General features: G+C 37.5%; 1 protein-coding gene across 8 annotated transcripts in view; it reads left to right on the top strand.

Moving 5' to 3' along the window:
• The window catches only part of RP1 (RP1 axonemal microtubule associated), a 312,050-nt gene that overhangs the window by 105,875 nt on the left and 185,269 nt on the right, over positions 1-20,906 (top strand). For 5 of the 8 annotated variants that reach the window (XM_047422069.1, XM_047422070.1, XM_047422071.1 and 2 more), the window contains exons 9-12: positions 8,791-8,869; positions 13,402-13,477; positions 14,361-14,568; positions 14,745-14,874. In XM_047422069.1, coding sequence (XP_047278025.1) covers positions 8,791-8,869; positions 13,402-13,477; positions 14,361-14,568; positions 14,745-14,874 — 493 coding nt within the window. Of the gene's footprint in view, positions 1-8,790; positions 8,870-13,401; positions 13,478-14,360; positions 14,569-14,636; positions 14,930-20,906 lie in introns of those variants that run through there. The other 3 variants (XM_047422072.1, NM_001375654.1, XM_017014158.2) reach the window with 2 other exon arrangements.

A 20,906-nucleotide genomic window follows, 5' to 3' on the forward strand; every position in this document is an offset into this window, starting at 1 on the left:
TTCTGGAACTTAAACCTTTGTATTTCCTCTTTGTTGAAATTCTCACTTGGTTCATTCATCACTGTCTTGATGTCTGTACCTTTGTGACTGTTATTTTGAATTCTCTGTTGAGTAAATCACTTAGTTCCATTTCTGGAAATTAATCTTGTTCTTTTGTTTGGGACATATTCCCCTTTTTTCTTCATTTTCTTTGACTCTTTCTATTAGTTTCTATGCATTAGATAAGACAGCCACCTCTCCCAAACTTGTGAGACTGGCTTCATGTAGGAAATAGACCTCACTGATCAACTTGGCAGAGATTAAGTGCCTCTCAAACTTTTGCATTTGTCCCAACTACTGTCTTTGTTTTTAGTGGCCCCCAGGAGTTTAGGGTGTGCCAAGTCCTGTCAGTGCCCCAGAGATAGGTAAGATAGAAGTCAGTCTCTTGAGAAGCAGCTGGAAAAGATGAGTTGCTAGATGTGTGATCAAGTTCGTTTTTTCCTCAGGCAGAAACTCAGAGCTGGAGTTTATCTCTCACTCACTCTGCATTAAGCTGGGGAGAGGATCTGTGGCAAATGCCTGCACTCCTATTCAGACCACACAGTTGCATTGCTGTTTGTTGCTCCCAAGAGCCTAGCAAATGCCCAGTTTCATCAGTTCTTAGAGACAGGTGGGTCAGCTGGAGACTTGTTCTATCTCTGGAATGAACCAGAGGAAAGAGCTGTATGAAGTGTGCAGACACTCAGTAGACTACTGATTGCTTGTTCTGTCACCGCCTGGATGCAAGATAATTAAAAATGTAACCCATGGAAATCGTTGGGAAACTTGACATTAGGTGTACACTCAAACCCCTTTCAAAGAAAAACTGGGTGCTGGGGGTTTTTGCCTGCTTTCTCTGCATGAAGCCAGGAGAAAGCTGCTGGAAGTGCTCCTTATGTGTTTAAAGCATCTCTTCATTCTCTGTGGTCCCTGGGGTACTTGAGAATGCCTATCCCCATCAGCTCCTACAGCTAGGTGGTTTAGAGGCCAGTCCCTCAGGTAGAAGCTGTAAAATATGGGACATTCGATGTATGGACAAACTCCTTCCAGGGAGAAGATGAAGATTGGCTTTATTGCCGGAGCCAGCTGGGGAAGAAGGCATGTCTGTTCAGGTTCACAAAGGACTTCTAATTACTTGACTTATCACCAACCAGATGCTGGCTAAGTAGAAGCTCAACTCTGGGGCAACATCTAAGAAAGTGCAAGTCCAACCTTTTGTAGTGAGAAAATGGGATTTGGGTATTTTTGCCTGCTTGCTCTGTGCTAAGCCTTATGTGGGATAGCTGCTGGAAGTGTTCTTGTACCCAGTTAAAATTGCCTCTTTGTTCTCTGTGGTACCAGGGACTTCTCAAATGCTGAGCCCCCACATTTCCAGAGGTAGGTAATTTAGGAGCCAGTTGTTTAGGTGGGAGCTATGAAAGTTGGGATGCTCAGTGTGTGGAGAAACTCTTTTCAGGGAGAAGCTGGAGACTTGGTTTTATTGCTGGAGTTAGCTAGGGTGAGAAGACATGGGAAGTACCCACATGCCTATTGAGGCTCTGGGAACTTTACTAATTTCCTGCCCTCTAGGCTTCCAGATGTACTCTAGTTAAAGCCCTGACCCCGGGACAGCAGCTGGGATTGTGTGCAGTCAGACCTCTTCCAGGGAGAAACTGGAAGTTAGATAATTTTCCTTGCTTACTCTGCACTAAGTCTAGGGGTATGGCTGCCTGTTTAAAAAGACCTCCTAGTTCTCTGTGGTCCCAGGGGATTTTCAAATGCCAAGCCCCATCTGTTCTCAGAGGCAGTTGATGTAGGAGCCAATCCCTTGGATAGCAACCATAAAAGTTAGGTTTTCTCCTCCACAATCCCTCAATCTGGATTCAATGCACCAGAAACCTGGTGCATTGAATAGGCACCTGGACCTCAGATATGGCACTGGAAATAGGCACTGGACCTCAGATATGGGGGCTCAGTAGAAGCCCTCTAGTTCTGGTTCAGGAGTCAGGAACGGGAACTCCTTACATATAGAGAAGGTGCAGACATGCCACCTTTTTTTTTACTTTCATTTTTCTATTTTTGTACATCCCCATGCCTGGGAAGAGGAGCACACGGGAGCCATCATTTTGAAGGAGAGGAACTTGTGCTTTTGTTTGGTAGAGCTGGGCTTCAGTGGGGTCTTCCTTACAAATAGGAAGACTGCAGAATTGCACAGCACAACAGGATAACTAAAGGACAGAAATGGAAGAGTGGATCCTATGTCCAGAATTCTGTCTCATTTGAAGGCTGCCTGAGAAACTGGTTTATGTCTCCCCTAACTTGGAGCCATGACAGAAAAGGCAGATAGTTTGGAAGCCTGGAAAAACAGAGGCCAGCCCTGCAGGCTGTTTTTTGCAGCAGAGATTCTTCAGTACAGCAGAGAGACAATAAGACAAGAAAGAGATTGTGGGCTCCAGATGAAAAACAAACACTTCCTTTTTGAAGCTGGAGAAGCTCCTGACTGTGCAGTGCTATTTCTGGGATGTGGTTTGCGGCAGGAGCTTATCTCAGCTTTTTCTACCTGTTTCGGTGTGGATATTTTCTCAGTTTCCCAGTGTGTGTGTGTTGCAACAAGTGTCTGAATTTCTCTCAAAATGAATTGTTGTATTTGTATTTGTTTATTTGGTACGTCCATGGAAGAACTGAAAGTCAGAAACCTCCAGTCTGCCATATTGCTGACATCACCCAACCCAGTGATGGTTTAAAGAGTGAGTTGTTAATAACAGGCTCTGAAATTGGGGCAATAATTAATAGCCTACCAAACAAAAAAAGGCCAGGACAAGACAGATTCAAAGCCGAATTCTACCAGAGGTACAAAGAGGAGCTGGTACCATTCCTTCTGAAACTATTCCAATCAATAGAAAAAGAGGTAATCCTCTCTAACTCATTTTATGAGGCCAGCGTCATCCTGATACCAAAGCCTGGCAGAGACACAACAAAAAAAGAGAATTTTAGACCAATATCCCTGATGAACATCAATGCAAAAATCCTCAATAAAATACTGGCAAACCGAATCCAGCAGCACATCAAAAAGCTTATCCATTGCGATCAAGTGGGCTTCATTCCTGGGATTCAAGACTGGTTCAACATATGCAGATCAATAAACGTAATCACAAGCATTCCTATACACCAATAACAGACAAACAGAGAGCCAAATCATGAGTGAACTTCCATTCACAATTGCTACAAAGAGAATAAAACACCTAGGAATACAACTTACAAGGGATGTGAAGGACCTCTTCAAGAAGAACTACAAACCACTGTTCAATGAAATAAAAGATGACACAAACAAATGGAAGAACATTCCATGCTTATGGATAGGAAGAATCAATATCCTGAAAATGGCCATACTGCCCAAGGTAATTTATAGATTCAATGCCATCCCCATCAAGCTACTAATGACTTTCTTCACAGAAATGGAAAATACTACCTTCAAGTTCATGTGGAACCAAAAAAGAGCCCACATTGCCAAGACAATCCTAAGCCAAAAGAACAAAGCTGGAGGCATCATGCTACCTGACTTCAAACTATACTACAAGGCTACAGTAACCAAAACAGCATGGTACTGGTACCAAAACAGAGATATAGACCAATGGAACAGAGCAGAGGCCTCAGAAATAACACCACACATCTACAACCATCTGATCTTTGACAAACCTGACAAAAACAAGAAATGGGGAAAGGATTCCCTATTTAATAAATGGTGCTGGGAAAACTGGCTAGCTGAAACTGTAGAAAGCTGAAACTGGATCCCTTCCTTACACCTTATACAAAAATTAATTCAAGATGGGTTAAAGACTTAAATGTTAGACCTAAAACCATAAAAACTCTAGAAGAAAACCTAGGCAATACTATTCAGGACATAGGCATGGGCAAGGACTTCATGACATAAACAGAAAAGCAATGATAACAAAAGCCAAAATAGACAAATGGGATGTAATTAATCTAAAGAGCTTCTGCACAGCAGAAGGAACTACCATCAGAGTGAACAGGCCACCTACAGAATGGGAGAAAAGTTTTGCAATCTACCCATCTGACAAAAGGCTAATACCCAGAATCTACAAAGAACTTAAACAAATTTACAAGAAAAAAAACACAACCCCATCAAAAAGTGGGCAAAGGATATGAACAGACGCTTATCAAAAGAAGACATTTATGTGGCCAACAGACACATGAAAAAATGCTCATCATCACTGGTCATCAGAGAAATGCAAATTAAAACCACAATGAGATACCATCTCACACCAGTTAGAATGGCGATCATTAAAAAGTTAGGAAACAACAGGTGCTGGAGAGGATGTGGAGAAATAGGAACACTTTTACAATGTTGGTGGGAGTGTAAACTAGTTCAACGATTGTGGAAGACAGTGTGGCGATTCCTCAAGGATCTAGAACTAGAAATACCACTTGACCCAGCGACCCCATTACTGGGTATATACCCAAAGGATTATAAATCATGCTGCTATAAAGACACGTGCACACGTATGTTTATTGTGTCACTATTCACAATAGCAAAGACTTGGAACCAACCCAAATGTCCATCAGTGATAGACTGGATCAAGAAAATGTGGCACATATACACCATGGAATACTCTGCAGCCATAAAAAAGGATGAGTTCATGTCCTTTACAGGGCCATGGATGAAGCTGGAAACCATCATTCTGAGCAAACTATCACAAGGACAGAAAACCAAACACCGCATGTTCTCACTCATAGGTGGGAACTGAACAATGAGAACACTTGGACACAGGGTGGGGAACATCACACACAGGGGCCTGTGGTGGGGTGGGAGGGAAGGGGGAGGGATAGCATTAGGAGAAATACCTAATGTAAATTATGAGTTAATGAGTGCAGCAAACCAACATGGCACATGTATACCTATGTAACAAACCGGCACGTTGTGCACATGTACCCTAGAACTTAAAGTATAATAATAAAATAAAAACCAAAATAAAAACAGAAAAAAAGAGTGAATTTTTAAATTTCCACATATATGTGAATATTTCAGTCACCTACTATTATTTTCTAGTTTTGTTCCACCATGATTGGAAAAGATACTTTATATTATTTTAATTTTCTTAAATTTGTTAAGACTTGTTTGTGAACTAACTTGTGATCTCTCATGGATAATGTTCCGTGTTTTTTGGTGGTTCTGTATATGTCTGTTAGGACCAATGGTTTACGGTGTTGGTCATGTCCACTTGCTTTATTGATCTTTTGTTTCATTTTTCTATCCATTATTGAAAGTGGGGCATTGAAATCTCCTAGTATTGTGTTGCTGTCTATTTCTCCCTTCAATTTTGTAAATGTTTGCTTTATATGTATGTGTATGTATGTATATATATGGATACATACATATACACGTATACCTACATATATAGGTTTACATATGTAAGTATGTATATATATACACATATATATGTATGTGTATATATATACATATATATGTATGTATATGTATATATATACATATATATGTATGTATATGTATATATATACATATATATGTATGTATATGTATATATGTATACTCTGATGTTAGGTGCACATATATTTATGAATAATATATATGTTTTTATATATATATATATATATATATATATATATATATAAAACATTAAGTCCTGGTGAATTAACCATATTATCATTATATAGTACATTTTTTTGTCTCGTGACAGTTTTGGAATTAAACTCTATTTTGTCTGATATAAATATGGCCACTGTCTCCCTCTTTAGGTTCCCATTTACATAGAATTTCTATCTTTTCACTTTCAACCTATGTATATACTGAGATGTATGTATTGTTCTTGGCTTACCGCAAGCCTCTGGATCCTGGGCTCAAACTTCATATTTTCATATGACTTCATGTTGCTATCTAGTGTCCTTTTATTTCAACTTGAAGGACTTCCTTAGCATTTCTTGTATTGTAGGTCTAGTGGTAATGAGCTTACTCAGTTTGTTTATCTGGGAAAGTCTTAATTTCTTCTCCACTTTTGACAGTTTTGCCTGATGTAGAATTTTTGGTTGAGAGGTTTTTTTCTTTTAATATTTTGAATGTATCATCCTGTTGCCCTTTAGCCTGCATGGTTTCTACACAAATTTACTCATAATTTTATAGAATCTCCTTCATATATGATGAGTTGCCTTTCTCTTGCTGCTTCCACGATTGTCTCTTTTAAAGTCACCAGTTTGATTATAATGTGTCTACGTTGGATTTCTTTTGGTTTATTTTAGTTTTAGCTCATTGAGCTTCTTGAATTTACATGTGCATTTCACTCCTCAGATTTTAGAAGTTTTTGGCTATTATTTTTTCAGAAAAGCTCTGTGTCCCTTTGTCTCTCTCTTTTCCTTTTTAAATTCCCGTAATGCATATGTTGGCCTGCTTGATGGTGTCTCATGAGTTTCTTATGCTCTCTTCACTTTTCTTCACCCTTTTATTTTGTTGCTCCTGTCTTGATGATTTCAAGTGAACTGCTTTCAAGAAAGCTGATTCTTCTGCCTTATTAAATCTGAGGTTAAACCCCATTAGTGAATTTTTCAATTCACTAATTATATTAACAGCTGTAGAATTTCTGTTTTGTTCTTTCTTATAGTTTCTATCTTTTTCATTGTATTCATGCCTGAATTTACTGATTTCATTTAGTTGGTCTCTCTGTATTCTTTTTCACTCATTTAGTATTTTAAGATAGTTGTTTTAAATTTCTATCAGGAAGTTTAGAGATTTGTATTTCTTTAGGGTTATTTCATGGAACCATTCATTTCTTTGATCGGGCCATGTTTTCCTCTTCTTTGTAGGCTTTGTGATCTTTTACTAAGATTTGAACATTTAGAAATACAACCATACCTCACAGTCATTATGAGTCACGTGCTTTACTAGGGGAAAACTTGCATTGGTCAGCCCAGGTGGAGGTTTGGGACCTCTCAAACCTTTTCTGACAATGTGTCTTCCCTGGGCTTATATATTTGATTTTAAGTATCTTAATTTCCTTAATTGCTTGCCCTTGTTTCTTATCCAGAGCCCACAATCTCCTGCTTGCCTTGTCTCTCTGCTGTACTGAAGAAGCTCTGTTGAAAAGACAGGCTGCAGGGCTGGCCTCTGTCTTTTAGCCTTCCAAACTATCTGCCATTTCTGCCATGGCTCCAAGTCAGGGGAGACAAAAACCAGTTTCTCAGGTAGCCTTCAGACAAGACAGAATTTTGGATGTATGGTCCACTCTTTCGTTTCTGTCCTGAGGGAGGTTCTGGACTGTGGGTGGTTTCCTTCCTGTTGCACTGCACTATGCCAGGTAGGGGTAGGGCATGGGCATGTAAGATGGCTTGAACTTTTCTGCCCTTTTTGGATGAAGTCCTTTCTTGGTTATGCATTGGCCTTGGTGCTGCATCTCTTAAGTGGTTTCTAAAGTTTTCAAAAAAAGAGTATTCTAGTTCTTACATTATTGTTAACTTAGTGTCTCCGTGTGTAAATTGGAGCCTGGAGCTTCCTAATCTGCCATCTTCTTGACATCTCTCCCTTCTTTGTCGATGTTTAAATCTGTATGTATATTGTTAAATGTGGATAATTATATACAGCCAGTTTTATTGTTGAATGTAGAAGCCAAATACATTATTTTATTATTTCTAATGTTAATATGCATGTAATATTTAACTTTTTCTTTTACTGAGTAAATTATAGACATTTTATCATATTATATTTATCTCAACTTTCCTTGAGGACCCAACTAGTTCTTAACGAGTATGTCAGCATATTTTCATTATGCGTTTCTTCTCTTTTCCTTAGAGTTCTCTATATTGATTATTATAAATATCATAACTCGTAATTATCTTTTATTGCATAGAAAGTCCTGCTTTTCTAACTGTTCTGTTTGGTGGATAAAGGGATAACAATGTTATCCATTAATTTGTACCAGGCATGAACAGTATTTTTTTATTAATGAATGCTAATGGTTTTGTTTCTCCTTATTTATATTCTTAACAGTGCACTTACGTAGAGACAAAGAGATTCAAAAGAAAATAGTCTTATTATGTGTCAGAGGAGCTGAGCTCTAATCCTGGATCTGTGCGTCAACTATCTTATCTGTAGAAAGGATTTTTTTTTCACTTAGCGATATTTGAGGATAAAATATGCATATGAAAATATTTTGAAACATAATACACTATACAAAGGTTATTTTTTCTTACCATTTTTTAATGGATATGCTACATCATGTATTTTTCTTGGATTGAAACCTATAGCGTTATCTTTGACTTTATCGGAAGTATTCTGTGATTTTCACTTTTTGTCTGTATTCTGAATATATAAACCATTGGAGCACAACTATGTCTCCTTTTAATTGTAAATTAATTTTTACAATCAATTTTTACTGGCTGGGTGCCGTGGCCCACGCCTGTAATCCCAGCACTTTGGAAGGTTGAGGCGGGCGGATTGCTTGAACCCAGGAGTTTGAGACCAGCCTGGGCAACATAGCCAAACCTCCTCTCTACAAAAAACACAAAAATTATCCTGGCATGGTGGCACATGCCTGTAATACCAGATACTCAGGAGGCTGAAGTAGGAGGATCATTTGAGCCCGGGAGGCAGAGGTTGCAGTGAGACAAGATTGTGTCATTGCACTCCAGCCTGGGTGACAGAGGGAGAGCCTGTCTCAAAACAACAACAACAACAACAACAACAACAAACACTGCATCTTAATTTATACTATTGGTATAAATCAGAGTTATAGTCTAGATCTAATTATACTTTTTGATTCGTTATAGACTGACACCTTTTTCCTGGAGGCTGTGCACCTTGGAGATTTGTGTAAGATTGTGATAGGCCATGATGGACTTGGCCCAGGTAAGACTCTTCCACAGAGAGTTCATGAAGGTCTGATTCCATTCTGTTTATATGAAACTCTGTTCAAATCTAGAAAATACTGTGGAAAATTGGTAGAAAATGGATCTCTATGTATTGACTATATGAAATCAAAATATTGTCTCCAAATACCCTTTAAAATTTAACTAGATGTATTTTTCTTCAAAATGACATAGGCTTGGCCAAGGGGATAATCTAGGATGGGCCTAAATACTAGAAAGAGTAATTTTAAAAAATAGAAGAGATTGGGGATTTATATGTTGTGACATGTGATGGCATTCCAGCATGGTAGTTAGTGGTGGAGGCAGCAGTCGTATCTCCTGGTGGTGATATTCCTTGAAGGCTACTGATTGTCCAACAGCGGCACGTTAAGGAGACTGTCCTGGCAGTGAGGTCTGAGCTGTTTTCTCCTGCCATTTTATTCATGCTTTTCCTCAGTCTTCTCATCAACTCTGTGAGATGACTCACATCTTCCCAATAAATTTATTTTCTGCTACTGTATAAAACAATTATAAGATAAACAAAATCCATTTAACAAAAGACAGACTACTAGAGGACACATACCAAAAAAAAAAAAAAGGAAAAAAAAACCCAAATGCATCAAACAAGGTGATAAACTTTCTTATTAAAAAGTGTCAAAGTATAATTTTCAAACTAAGAACAAGATTGTTACACAAATACAGAGTGGACAATGTGTTTAGGTAATTAATGAAGGAATTAGGAGGTTGACAAAGCTGGTTGAAAGGAGGTTACAAGAAACTAAAAAATATATACTTATAATCCATGAAAAAAAAATTATGAGTAAGATTAATAAAAATATGACCAATATTCTATAGACAATACAAATATACTTTTGAGGTTGTCTTCTCTCTTGGACAAAATGTATCTATATTTTGAACAGATGTAAATTATTTGCATATTATTTTCTGTCAGTTGATAGCTAATTTTACAGAGTCTAGGCCTGAATCCATAGTAAATATTAAGTCAAATAATGTTACACTCCCACAGTGAGGCAAATGATTCTCAGGCAAGCTTGTTAGTGTTTTACTACAATATTGAAAGGACATGTGTCATCTTTTAGCCTTATTTCTGAGTTTCTGTTAATTTTTTTAAACAGAAATAAAGGCAATAATTTTCAACCTAAAAAATCCCTGTGTCCAATTATATGCTCTATGCAAGAGACACTTGAAATAAATGACCCAGTAATATTAAACATGAAAGTTTAGGCAATGATATATCAGAAATATGTAAATAAAAGAAATAATCTTAGTTTTAACCTTATTATAAGATAAAGTAAAATTCAAGACAACAAGCATTAAAAGTTACAAGAAGGGTAATTTTTTGGTAAAGTTTATAATTCACAATGAGATTGTAAGAGTCATGAGCCTTTATTCCACAGATAATATTGCATATAAATAGATAAAGTAAAATACTCAGAGATAGTCAGGAAGAAATGAAAAGAAGATAGGATAGGATTTTATCATATGTCTCAGATTTTGGTAGGTTAGTTGGATACATCAGTTACTCTCCTCGGTTGTTTGTACTTTGTAGATAGGGAAGCACTTTCATTTCAAAACTTCATGAAACATTTTTATAATTTGACTCAGATATTAGGCCAAAAAGAAAATCTCGGTATATTTCCCCAAACAAGCCACATTCTCTGACTACAATTTAGTAAAACAAAAATTTAATTAAAAGGACAAAAGTAAAAAAAAATTAGTCATTTAAGGTATTTCAGTCCTCTTCATGACTTTGGGCCAAAGCAAAAATCAGAACTATAAGTACAGTCTAACAGAATGTTATGATGGTGTTTTTTTCTGTCTTATTTTCTGCTGAGGTCTCAAAAGACCAGAGTAAAATAATAGAAGCAAGACCTCACCATCTGTCTTACTTAGTTTGAGGCTGCTATAACAAAATACCTTAGACTGGGCAATTTATAAAGAAGAAACATTTATTCTTACACTTCTGGAGGCTGAGAAGTCTAAGATCAAAGTGCTGGCATTTGTTGTCTTGGGAGGGGCTTCTTGCTGTGTCCTCCCATGGTGGAAGGGCAAAAAGGCCTCGCTAGTTCCCTGAAGTCCTTTTATGAGGGCACTCATCCCACTCATGAGGGCTGAGCCCTCATGACTTAATCACATCCTAAACGCTCCATCTCTTAATGTTATCACATTGGGTCTTAGGTTCCAATAGATGAATTTTAGGGGGACAAGTATATTCAGACCCATCCCAGCACCATCCTAAATGTAGGCACAAAGCTACATATTCAGGACTTAATGAAGGAAGGGACAGACAACAAGTTATGGGTTCACCACTGAGTATAAAAACTACAAGTTTTCATTGCAGTAGGTTGGCTGTTGATTTGATACCTATTCACCAACTGCCAGTAATAGGAGAGGGTAGTAGGGGTTTTTCCGTTGTGAAGAAACCACTTGAAGAACCTGTGCCATCTAGAATTTGTTACATGACCCCCACTTGAATAAAAATCTGCAGGCTTCCTAAGTGGCCTTTGGCCACAAAGAAAGGAAAGTCTGCAGAACAGTCAGAGTAGAATTGTAGGCAGATAATCCGAGAAGATAGTAAGATAAATGATTACTGCTTTAAATACCTACTCACCAACATACATATGTAAACAATGCCGGTTAATAAGACTTTTCTAGACTCTTACCCGTCCCTAATCCCTGCAGGAACAGCCTAGCTTTCTTTAGGAACCCATCTTTTCTAGTTTTCTAAATCCAGTTCTAGTTCTTTCTTATGGGAAAAACATGATGAAAATGTAGGCAATATATTTTTACGTTAATAATTTAAAAACTAACTTACTAACTTACAAAGTATTGTTAAAATCAATGTATCATTACCTCTAAGAGTTTTCTTTACAGCCTCCTCAGTTCTTAAAACTCATTTTAGAATTCTGGTAACATTTTATTTTTCCTTAAAGGAGACAAGTAATTCTTTTTTGGGAGATAGCATCTAAAAATGAAATTAAATAACATTTTGGAGATTTTTTTCCAGGTGGAGAGAATAGTGTATGTAAGGACATAAAATTATGTATGTGAATCATCTGTGGCAGTGGTTTTCAAAGTGTGGTTCGTAGGCCATTAGCATTGCTTACCAAAATTGTTAAAGATTCAATGCTTGGGGTCTTATCTAGGATGACTAGCCATACTGGTTTGCCTGTGGCTATTCTGGTTTACCTATGTCTGTCCTGGTTTTAGCACTGAAAATCCTGCATCCTGGGAAAACCCTCTGTCCTGGGCAAACTGGGGCATTTGATCACTGTAGGCTGCCTGTGCTGAGTCTACTGAATTAGAAACTGTGGAACTCAGTAGTCTGTGTTTTTGTAATCCCTCCTGGTGATGCAGATGCATGCTAAGTTTGGGAACCACTGATCTAGGGAACTGTGAAGAGTTTGGCACCACTCAATAACGGGAGTATGTGATGAGGGATGAAGCTGAAGAGTAAGCTGAAGCGTCTTATATGCTGCGTTAAAAAGTTTTATCTGGCTGAGAACAGTGGCTTATGCCTATAATTCCAGCATGTTGCGAGGCTGAGGTGTGAGGATTGCTTGAGGCCAGGAGTTCAAGACCGGCCTGGGCAACATACAAGACCCCATCTCTACAAAAATATTTAAAAATTAGCTGAGCATGGTGGTACACACCTGGAGTCCCAGCTACTTGAGAGGCTGAGGCTGGAAGATTGCTTGAGTTCAGGAGTTCAAGGCTATGGTGAACTGTGATTGCACTACTGTACTCTAGCCTGGGTGACAGAGTGAGCCTCTGTCTCTAAACATATACAAATAAAAAATAAAAGAAAAAAATAAATTTTATCCTATAGCTGATGAGTATTAACTCACCAACTCAATAATTTTAATTAGAATAGAATATATTTTGAGCTGGACCTTTGCATAGACAAAACCACTATGACCAATTAAAATATTTTATGTGTAAGTAAAATTGATTTTAACTAACTCTAGTTTGCAAATTAATATGAAATTAAACATTTAAAAAGAAATTTATACCTTCATGTGTACCAGGTGAGTCTATGTGCTTGGACAGGATTTCTGAATGATTTTTCATTTTTAGTCTATCAAAACATATATATTTTATGCAGACTTTGTTTAAATTTGAACTTTAAAAAACTTCCTGGAAGTAGAAAGTGTTGGTAACTCATCGAGTATATATTCTTTGGAAGATGTTAGGTTCAGGATTATGAATGCAGTTTATGAAATTAAAAGCAGCTACAGAATTGTTCTATTTTCAATTGTTTGGAAAAGCCCACTGAAATAGACACAATAAGGCATGAAGCCTTAAAATAATGCTTTGCTTTTGTTATATGTATAAGAAATACATTCCTTACAGTTTACTTCTGTTATATTTTGCTTTATTTGAAGTACTAAAGCTTTATATTGTACAAGACCTTTACATATATTTGGAAGTTAGAACTTGTTTCTCAAAACTTGAAGTATTATTAGGCCATATTTATTCATATCACATTTTCATTCTTTAATTTGTGTTTAGGAAATGGTTGGTTTCTTGATGATGTTGTTATCAAGGATCCCACAACAAATTACGAATATGCCTTCTTCTGTCACAGGTTTGTAGGTGTACTTTTACATCGAAAAAATCCATTTCATGTTAGTTCCAAGTTTGTGCATTGAGAACTGGGTAACTTATTTAGTTGTTCCTAGTCACTGAGTCTTTGTTGGGTAACTTTTGTGAACATTAATTTTAGTGGCTCTTTATGCTATTGAGACAGACATTTATTATGTTTATCATCATTCCTAATGATAGAAATTTAATATTTAATGGTAAATTAAGATAGATTCTTAAAAATATTACCTCTCTGTACATATCAGAAAGAAAAATGAAAGTCTCTGACAAGAAAACATATTCCCTTTGGACTAGGTCCCAAATTAGGTTAAAAAATAATAAATATACACAGTGTTTCATGTAGCTTTTTATACAGAGATGATAGTGCTTACTTACTATCAACAGACCTTGATTTTTGAGTTATTTTCCCAGCAGTGGTGATAGATTTGCTTTCGTGATAGATTTGCTTTTTTTTTTCTTTGACACTTTCCTGCCTCTTTTCCTATGGAACCCATAGTAACCATTTATGAAATAACTGATTAGGGTTTGAACTATATTTAGTGGCCAAAGGACAGGATAAATTGATCCAGTGAATATAACATCTACGACTTTGACAGTTAGCAGGCTGATTGAGTAACTCACCTGTGTTATTAGGCAAAAACATATTTTAGCCTTACCAGATAGTAACTGCTGCTTCTACCTCCCTTGCAGTCTTAGAGTCATTTTAGGATTTTCTTTTCCATTCTGTACTGCTCTGCCTTTGAGAGCCAGATAGCCACGTCTTTTCCCTTTCCTGCTATCTTGTATTTCTGACTTGGGAAGATAATTGCCAATGGTTAATGTAAATATAAAGTCTGAAAATAATCGATACACTTTTCTTTTCACAGATGGCTAGATCAGGGGGAAGATGATTGTAAAATTGTCAGAGAACTGTATGCCAGGGATAACAGTATCTTCTCTGCGAGTAGGTATCATGTATACACATTTCCTGGAAAACTCTTTTATGATGACTGGAGAAAGCATGACACTTCTGAAATTAATTGCCCTCTCTTTATCTTCTCAGGGCAGAAATTGGAACTTAAGAGAAAAGAAACAGTAAGATTTTGTTTGGGCTTTAGATTATCTCATATAAACAATGTTCAAATGACTATTTGATGTGTTAAAACAAAACAGCCTATAGAGTTTAGTAAGTGCTGTTTCTTAGCAATTTCTTCTCTTTGTTTCTTCTCATACTGGTGTTTTCATTTGTTTTGCTTTGTTTTTCTTTTTAGTGGACTGCAGAAAGCTGGAAGTTTACAAAAGGAAATACTCTTCAGTTCTATAACAAGCTGACTGGAGGGTTTGTCCGTTTGCATCCAGATGGCACAGTTGACGCCATTGGAGAGAAGACAGACAAATATGGTAAAACTATCGTACAAAGCTTGTGGTGCTGGACAGGTCTGGGAGTTAAAGGAAGGTAGATTTCTAGACACAGTTTAATTTATAGTTTTGTTCTTTTTACAGATGGCTTTACACAAGTGTTAGGCCATTTAAATAATTTACTATCTGTATTAATAGAAATGATAAATAGATGACAGGCTTTAAATCTGGGCACTGTGAAAAATATATATATTTGGTATTAATTAATTGAAGAATAAAATGTAGGCAGTTATCAAAACACCATGTTAAATAATTTGAGGGCCAGAGAAAATAACTAAAATATTATTCTATATTTCAGACATTCATAATCTAATGAAGAAGACAAATACAACAATTCTAATAATTATTATTTGTAGCTAGTGTCATAATAAATGTACAAAGGAAAAACAAGGCAAGGAAAAACTAGATTTGATGTGTAATATCTGCATGTCATGAAGCTGTAACCATGAGAATTAACAAAAGAGTAAACGGATGATGGTAGATGTTTGACTATAAACCCAAACCTCCAACTCTTTTTGAATTTGGATCTTCATTATTTAAACAATATTTGCCTGCAACACCTATGAATTTAACTGTACTTTACTATGCTGGAAACCGTGCTGTTCAGTCTCGAGGATGTGCTGGAGCTACTAACCTACCGCATGTCTCAAAATGTAACCCCTTCTGCCTCGTATTTGAGATCCTAGGGAACAACCAGTTTTCTCCTGTATGAAAATAAATGTCTGGGCCGGGTGTGGTGGCTCATGCCTGTAATCTCAGCACTTTGGGAGGCCGAGGTGGGCGGATCATGAGGTCAGGAGATCGAGACCATCCTGGCTAACATGGTGAAACCCCGTCTCTACTAAAAATACAAAAAATTAGCCGGGCGTGGTGGTGGGTACCTGTAATCCCAGCTACTGTAGAGGCTGAGGCAGGAGAATGGTGTGAACCCGGAGGGTGGAGCTTGCAGTGAGCCGAGATAGAGCCACTGCACACCAACCTGGGCGACAGAGCGAGACTCTGTCTCGGACAAAAAAAAAAAACAAAAAAGAAAAGAAGTGTCTGTCTAAAAATACTTCCTAGGAGCTTCTCTTTCCAAAATTATTCTTTAGACATTTTCCTTACCTCGGCAAAAATTGGTTCCCACTTGAGATTACTTATCCACTTAAATCAGTCAAAGTGGCCCTTCATCCTATTCCCTGGGTTCTCTGCTGCCACTGTTGTTATTCTTTTTCTTTATTAGTATCCTGTATTTGCAGATGTGGCCACAAAAATATCTCCCATTGTTAAATCAGAAACAGTGAAGGATCTAAATTGTACCCTACTTGTAGGAAACACGAGACCACTGGGTCAGAGACCAAGACCATTTATTTCTCACATCAAGTACACCAGCTAGAGCAGCTTCTTGTGTTGGGTTCCCTGAACTCCAGTCCTGCAGTATCATGATGTGAGGTCCCAATGGTACCAGCACACGTAGTCAGGTACATTAAAAGAGAGAAATTTGCAAATTAGGAAACTATGATCTTATATTTTCTATTTTTATTTTTTGATTTGTGTGTGTGTGTGTGTGTGTGTGTGTGTGTGTGTGTGTGTATGTATATATGTATATTATTTAATCAACTTTTAAGTTCCAGGGTAAATGTGCAGGTTTGTTACACAGGTAAACGTGTGCCATGGTGGTTTGCTGTACAGATCAACCCTTCACCTAGGCATTAAGCCCAGCATCCTCTAGCTATTCTTCCTGATGCTCTCCCTCCCCTGGACCCCCAACAGGTCCCAGTGTGTGTTGTTTCCCCACCACCCCCTGATGTGTCCATGTGTTCTCATCATTCAGCTCCCACTTATAAGTGAGAACATGCAGTGTTTGGTTTTCTGTTCCTGGATTAGTTTGCTGAGGATAACAGCTTCTAGCTTCATCCATGTCCCTGCAAAAGACATGATCTCATTTCTTTTTATGGCTGCATAGTATTCCATGGTGGTTAGGTACCACATTTTCTTTATCCAGTCTGTCATTGATGGGCATTTGGGTTGATTCCATGTCTTTGCTATTGTGAATAGTGCTGCAGTGAACGTACGCAGGCATGTATCTTCATAATAGTATGATTTATATTACTTTGGGTATATACCCAGTAATGGGATTGCTGGGCCAAATGGTGTTTCTGCTTCTAGATCTTTGAGGAATTACCACACTGCCTTCCATAATGGTTGAACTAACTTACATTCCCACCAACAGTGTAAAAGCATGCCTTTTTCTCTGCAACCTCACCAGCATCTGTTGTTTCTTGGCCTTTTTTCCCCTTTTTTTTAAATTAAAATTTTTTTTTTTTTACTTTAAGTTCTGGGATACATGTGCAGAATGTGCAGGTTTGTTACATAGGTATACATGTGCCTTGGTGGTTTGCTGCACCTATCAACCCATCACCTAGGTTATTAGTGGGAATGTAAATTAGTTCAACCATTGTGGAAATCAGTGTGGCGATTCCTCAAGGATCTAGAATCAGAAATACCATTTTACCTGGCAATCCCATTACCGAGTATATACCCACAGGAATATAAATCATTCTATTATAAAGATACATGCACACATATGTTTATTGCAGCACTATTCACAGTAGCAAAGACATTGACTTTTTAATAATCTCCATTCTGACTGATGTGAGATGGTATCTCATTGTGGTTTTGATTTACATTTCTTTAATTTACATTTCTCTAATGGGTTTTTTTTTCTTGTAAATTTGTTGAAGTTCCTTGTAGACTCTGAATATTAGACCTTTGTCAGATGGATAGTTTGCAAAATTTTTCTCCCATTCTCTAGGCTTTCTGTTCACGCTGATGATAGTTTCTTTTACTGTGCAGAAGCTCTTTAGTTTAATTAGATCCCATTTGTCAATTTTTTCTTTTGTTGAAATTGCTTTTGGTGTAATTTTGTTGCCATTGCTTTCCCCACCTGTGTCCTGAATAGTATTGCCTAGATTTTCTTCTAGGGTTTTTATTGTTTTGGGGTTTACATTTAAGTCTTTAATTCATCTTGAGTTAATTTGTGTATAAGGTGTAAGGAAGGGGTCCAGTTTCCATTTTCTGCATATGGCTAGTCAGTTTTCCCAACACCATTTGTTAAATAGGGAGTCCTTTTCCTATTGCTTGTTTTTGTCAGGTTAGTCAAAGATCAGATGGCTGTAGATATGTGGCATTATTTCTGAGGCCTCTGTTCTGTTCCATTGGTCTATATATATCTGTTTTGGTAACAGTACCGTGCTGTTTTGGTTACTGTAGCCTTATAGCATAGTTTGAAGTAAGGTAGCATGATGACTCCAGCTTTGTTCTTTTTGTTTAGAATTGTCTTTGCTATATGGGCTCATCTTTGGTTCCATATGAATTTTAACACAGCTTTTTTTCTAATTCCATTAAGAATGTCAATGGTGATTTAATGGTAATGGCATTGGCTCTATAAATTACTTTGGGCAGTGTGGCCATTTGCATGATATTGATTCTTCCTCTCTGTGAGCATGGACTGTTTCTCTATTTGTTTGTGTCCTCTCTGATTTCCTTGAGCAGCAGTTTGCAGTTCTCCTTGAAGAGATCCTTCACTTTCCTTGTTAGCTGTATTCCTAGGTAGTTTATTCTCTTTGTAGCAATCGTGAATGGGAGTTCATTCATGATTTGGCTCTCTGCATGCTTGTTGTTGGTGTATATGAATGCTTATGATTTTTGCACATTGATTTTGTATCCTGGGGCTAAAGTTGCTTACTAGTTTAAGAAGCTTTTGGGTTGAGACAATGGGATTTTCTAGATATAGGATTATGTCATCTGCAAACAAAGATAATTTGGCTTCCTCTCTTCCTATTTGCATACACTTTATTTCCTCCTCTTGCCTGTTAGCCCAGGCCAGGACTTCCAATAATATGTTGAATAGGAGTAGTAAGAGAGGGCATCCTTATCTTGTGCCTGCTTTCCAAGGGAATGCTTCCAGCTTTTGCCCACTCAGTATGGTAGTGGCTGTGGGTTTGTCATATATGGCTCTTATTATTTTGAGGTATGTTCCTTCAATACCTAGTTGCTTGAGAGTTTTTTTTTTTTTTTTTTAACATGAAGGGATGTTGAATTTTACCAAAGGTCTTTTCTGTGTCTATTGAGATAATCGTGTGGTTTTTGTCTTTAGTTCTGTTTATGTGATGAATTACATTTATTGATTTTTGTATGTTGAATCAACCTTGCATCCCAGGGACGACGCCAACTTGATCGTGATGGATAAGCTTTTTGATGTGCTGTTGTATCTGTTTGCCAGGATTTTATTGACGATTTTTGCATCTATGTTAATCAGGGATATTGGCCTGAAGTTTTCTTTTTTTGTTGTATCTCTGCCAGGTTTTGCTATCAGAATGATGCTGGCCTCATAAAATGAGTTAGGGAGGAGTCCCTGCTTTTCAGTTGTTTGGAATAGTTTCAGTACACATGGTACCAGGTCCTCTTTGAACTTCTGGTAGAATTCAGCTGTAAATCTGTCTGGTAGTAGGCTTTTTTTGGTTGGTAGGCTATTTATTACTGCCTCAATTTCAGAACTCCTTATTCATCTATTTTGGGATTCAGTTTCTTCTTGGTTCAGTCTTGCGGGGGTGTGTGCATCCAGGAATTTATCCATTTCTTCTAGATTTTCTAGTTTGTGTACATAGAGGTGTTTATAGTATTATCTGATGGCTGTTTGTATTTCTTTGGGGTCAGTGGTGATATTTCCTTTATCATTTCTGATTGTGTCCATTTGACTCTTTTTTCTTCTTTATTCATCTAACTAGTGGCCTATTTTACTTTTTTATTTTTTAAGTTTTGAGGTACATGTGCAGGATGTGCAGGTACATATACACCATGGAATACTATGCAGCCATAAAAAGGAATGAGATCATGCCCTTTGCAGGGACATGGATGAAGCTGGAAGCCAATATTCTCAGCAAACTAACACAGGAACAGAAAACCAAACACCCCATGTTCTCACTTATAAGTGGGGGCTGAACATGAGAACACATGGACACAGGGAGGGGAACAACACTTACTGCGGCTTGTTGTGGGAGGGCAGAGGTGGGAGAGCATTAGGGAAAAGAGCTATGCATGCTGGGCTTAATACCTAGGTGATGGGTTGATAGGTGCAGCAGTCTGTCTATTTTATTAATTTTTTTCAAAAAACCAGCTCCTGGATTTGTTGATTTTTTGAAGGGTTTTTTATGTCTCTGTCTCCTTCAGTTCAGCTCTGATATTTGTTATTTCTTGTCTTCTACTAGCTTTGGAGTTTATTTGCTCTTGGTTCTCTAGTTCCTTTAGTTGTGATGTTAGGTTGTTGATTTGAGGTCTAACTTTTTGATGAGGGCATTTAGTGCTATAAATTTCCCTCTTAATACTGCTTTAGCTGTGTCCCAGAGTTCTGGTGTGTTGTCTCTTTGTTCTCATTAGTTTCAAAGAATTTCTTGATTTCTGCCTTAATTTCGTTATTTACCCAGGATTCATTCAGGAGCAGGTCGTTCAATTTCCATGTAGTTGTGTGGTTTTGAATGAATTTCTTAATTTTGAGTTCTAATTTGACTGCACTGTGATCTGAGAGACTGTTATGATTTCAGTTCTTTTGCATTTACTGAGGAGTGGAAACTCTAATCTTATATAGGGCTGTCCATCCTTCCTTCTAGAGAATGAGCCAGAGAATGAATTTGAACACAGCACAAATTCATGAACTTTCTTAAAACATGATGAGATTTTTTTTTTCTTTTAGCTCATCAGCTATCCTTAGTGTTAGTGTATTTCATGTGTGGCCCAAGACAATTCTTCCAATGTGGCCTGGGGAAGCCAAAAGACTGGACACCCCTCTTCTCAGTTTTATGACTAATTGAATGCAGCTGATGCAACACTTGAACTTCTAAGGTCTGCATCTTCTATCCTTACTTCTCGAATTAATCCTTCTTGGAACCCAGCCCTCAGGTGGAAAGGAAACCAGGCAGCCATGCAGAGAGGTCCTTCAGGAAAGAACTGGCCCTGACAGCCCCAGCTGAATCTCC

This window comes from Homo sapiens, chromosome 8 (assembly GCF_000001405.40).
Source record: "Homo sapiens chromosome 8, GRCh38.p14 Primary Assembly".
In the NCBI taxonomy this organism is placed as follows: domain Eukaryota; kingdom Metazoa; phylum Chordata; class Mammalia; order Primates; family Hominidae; genus Homo; species Homo sapiens.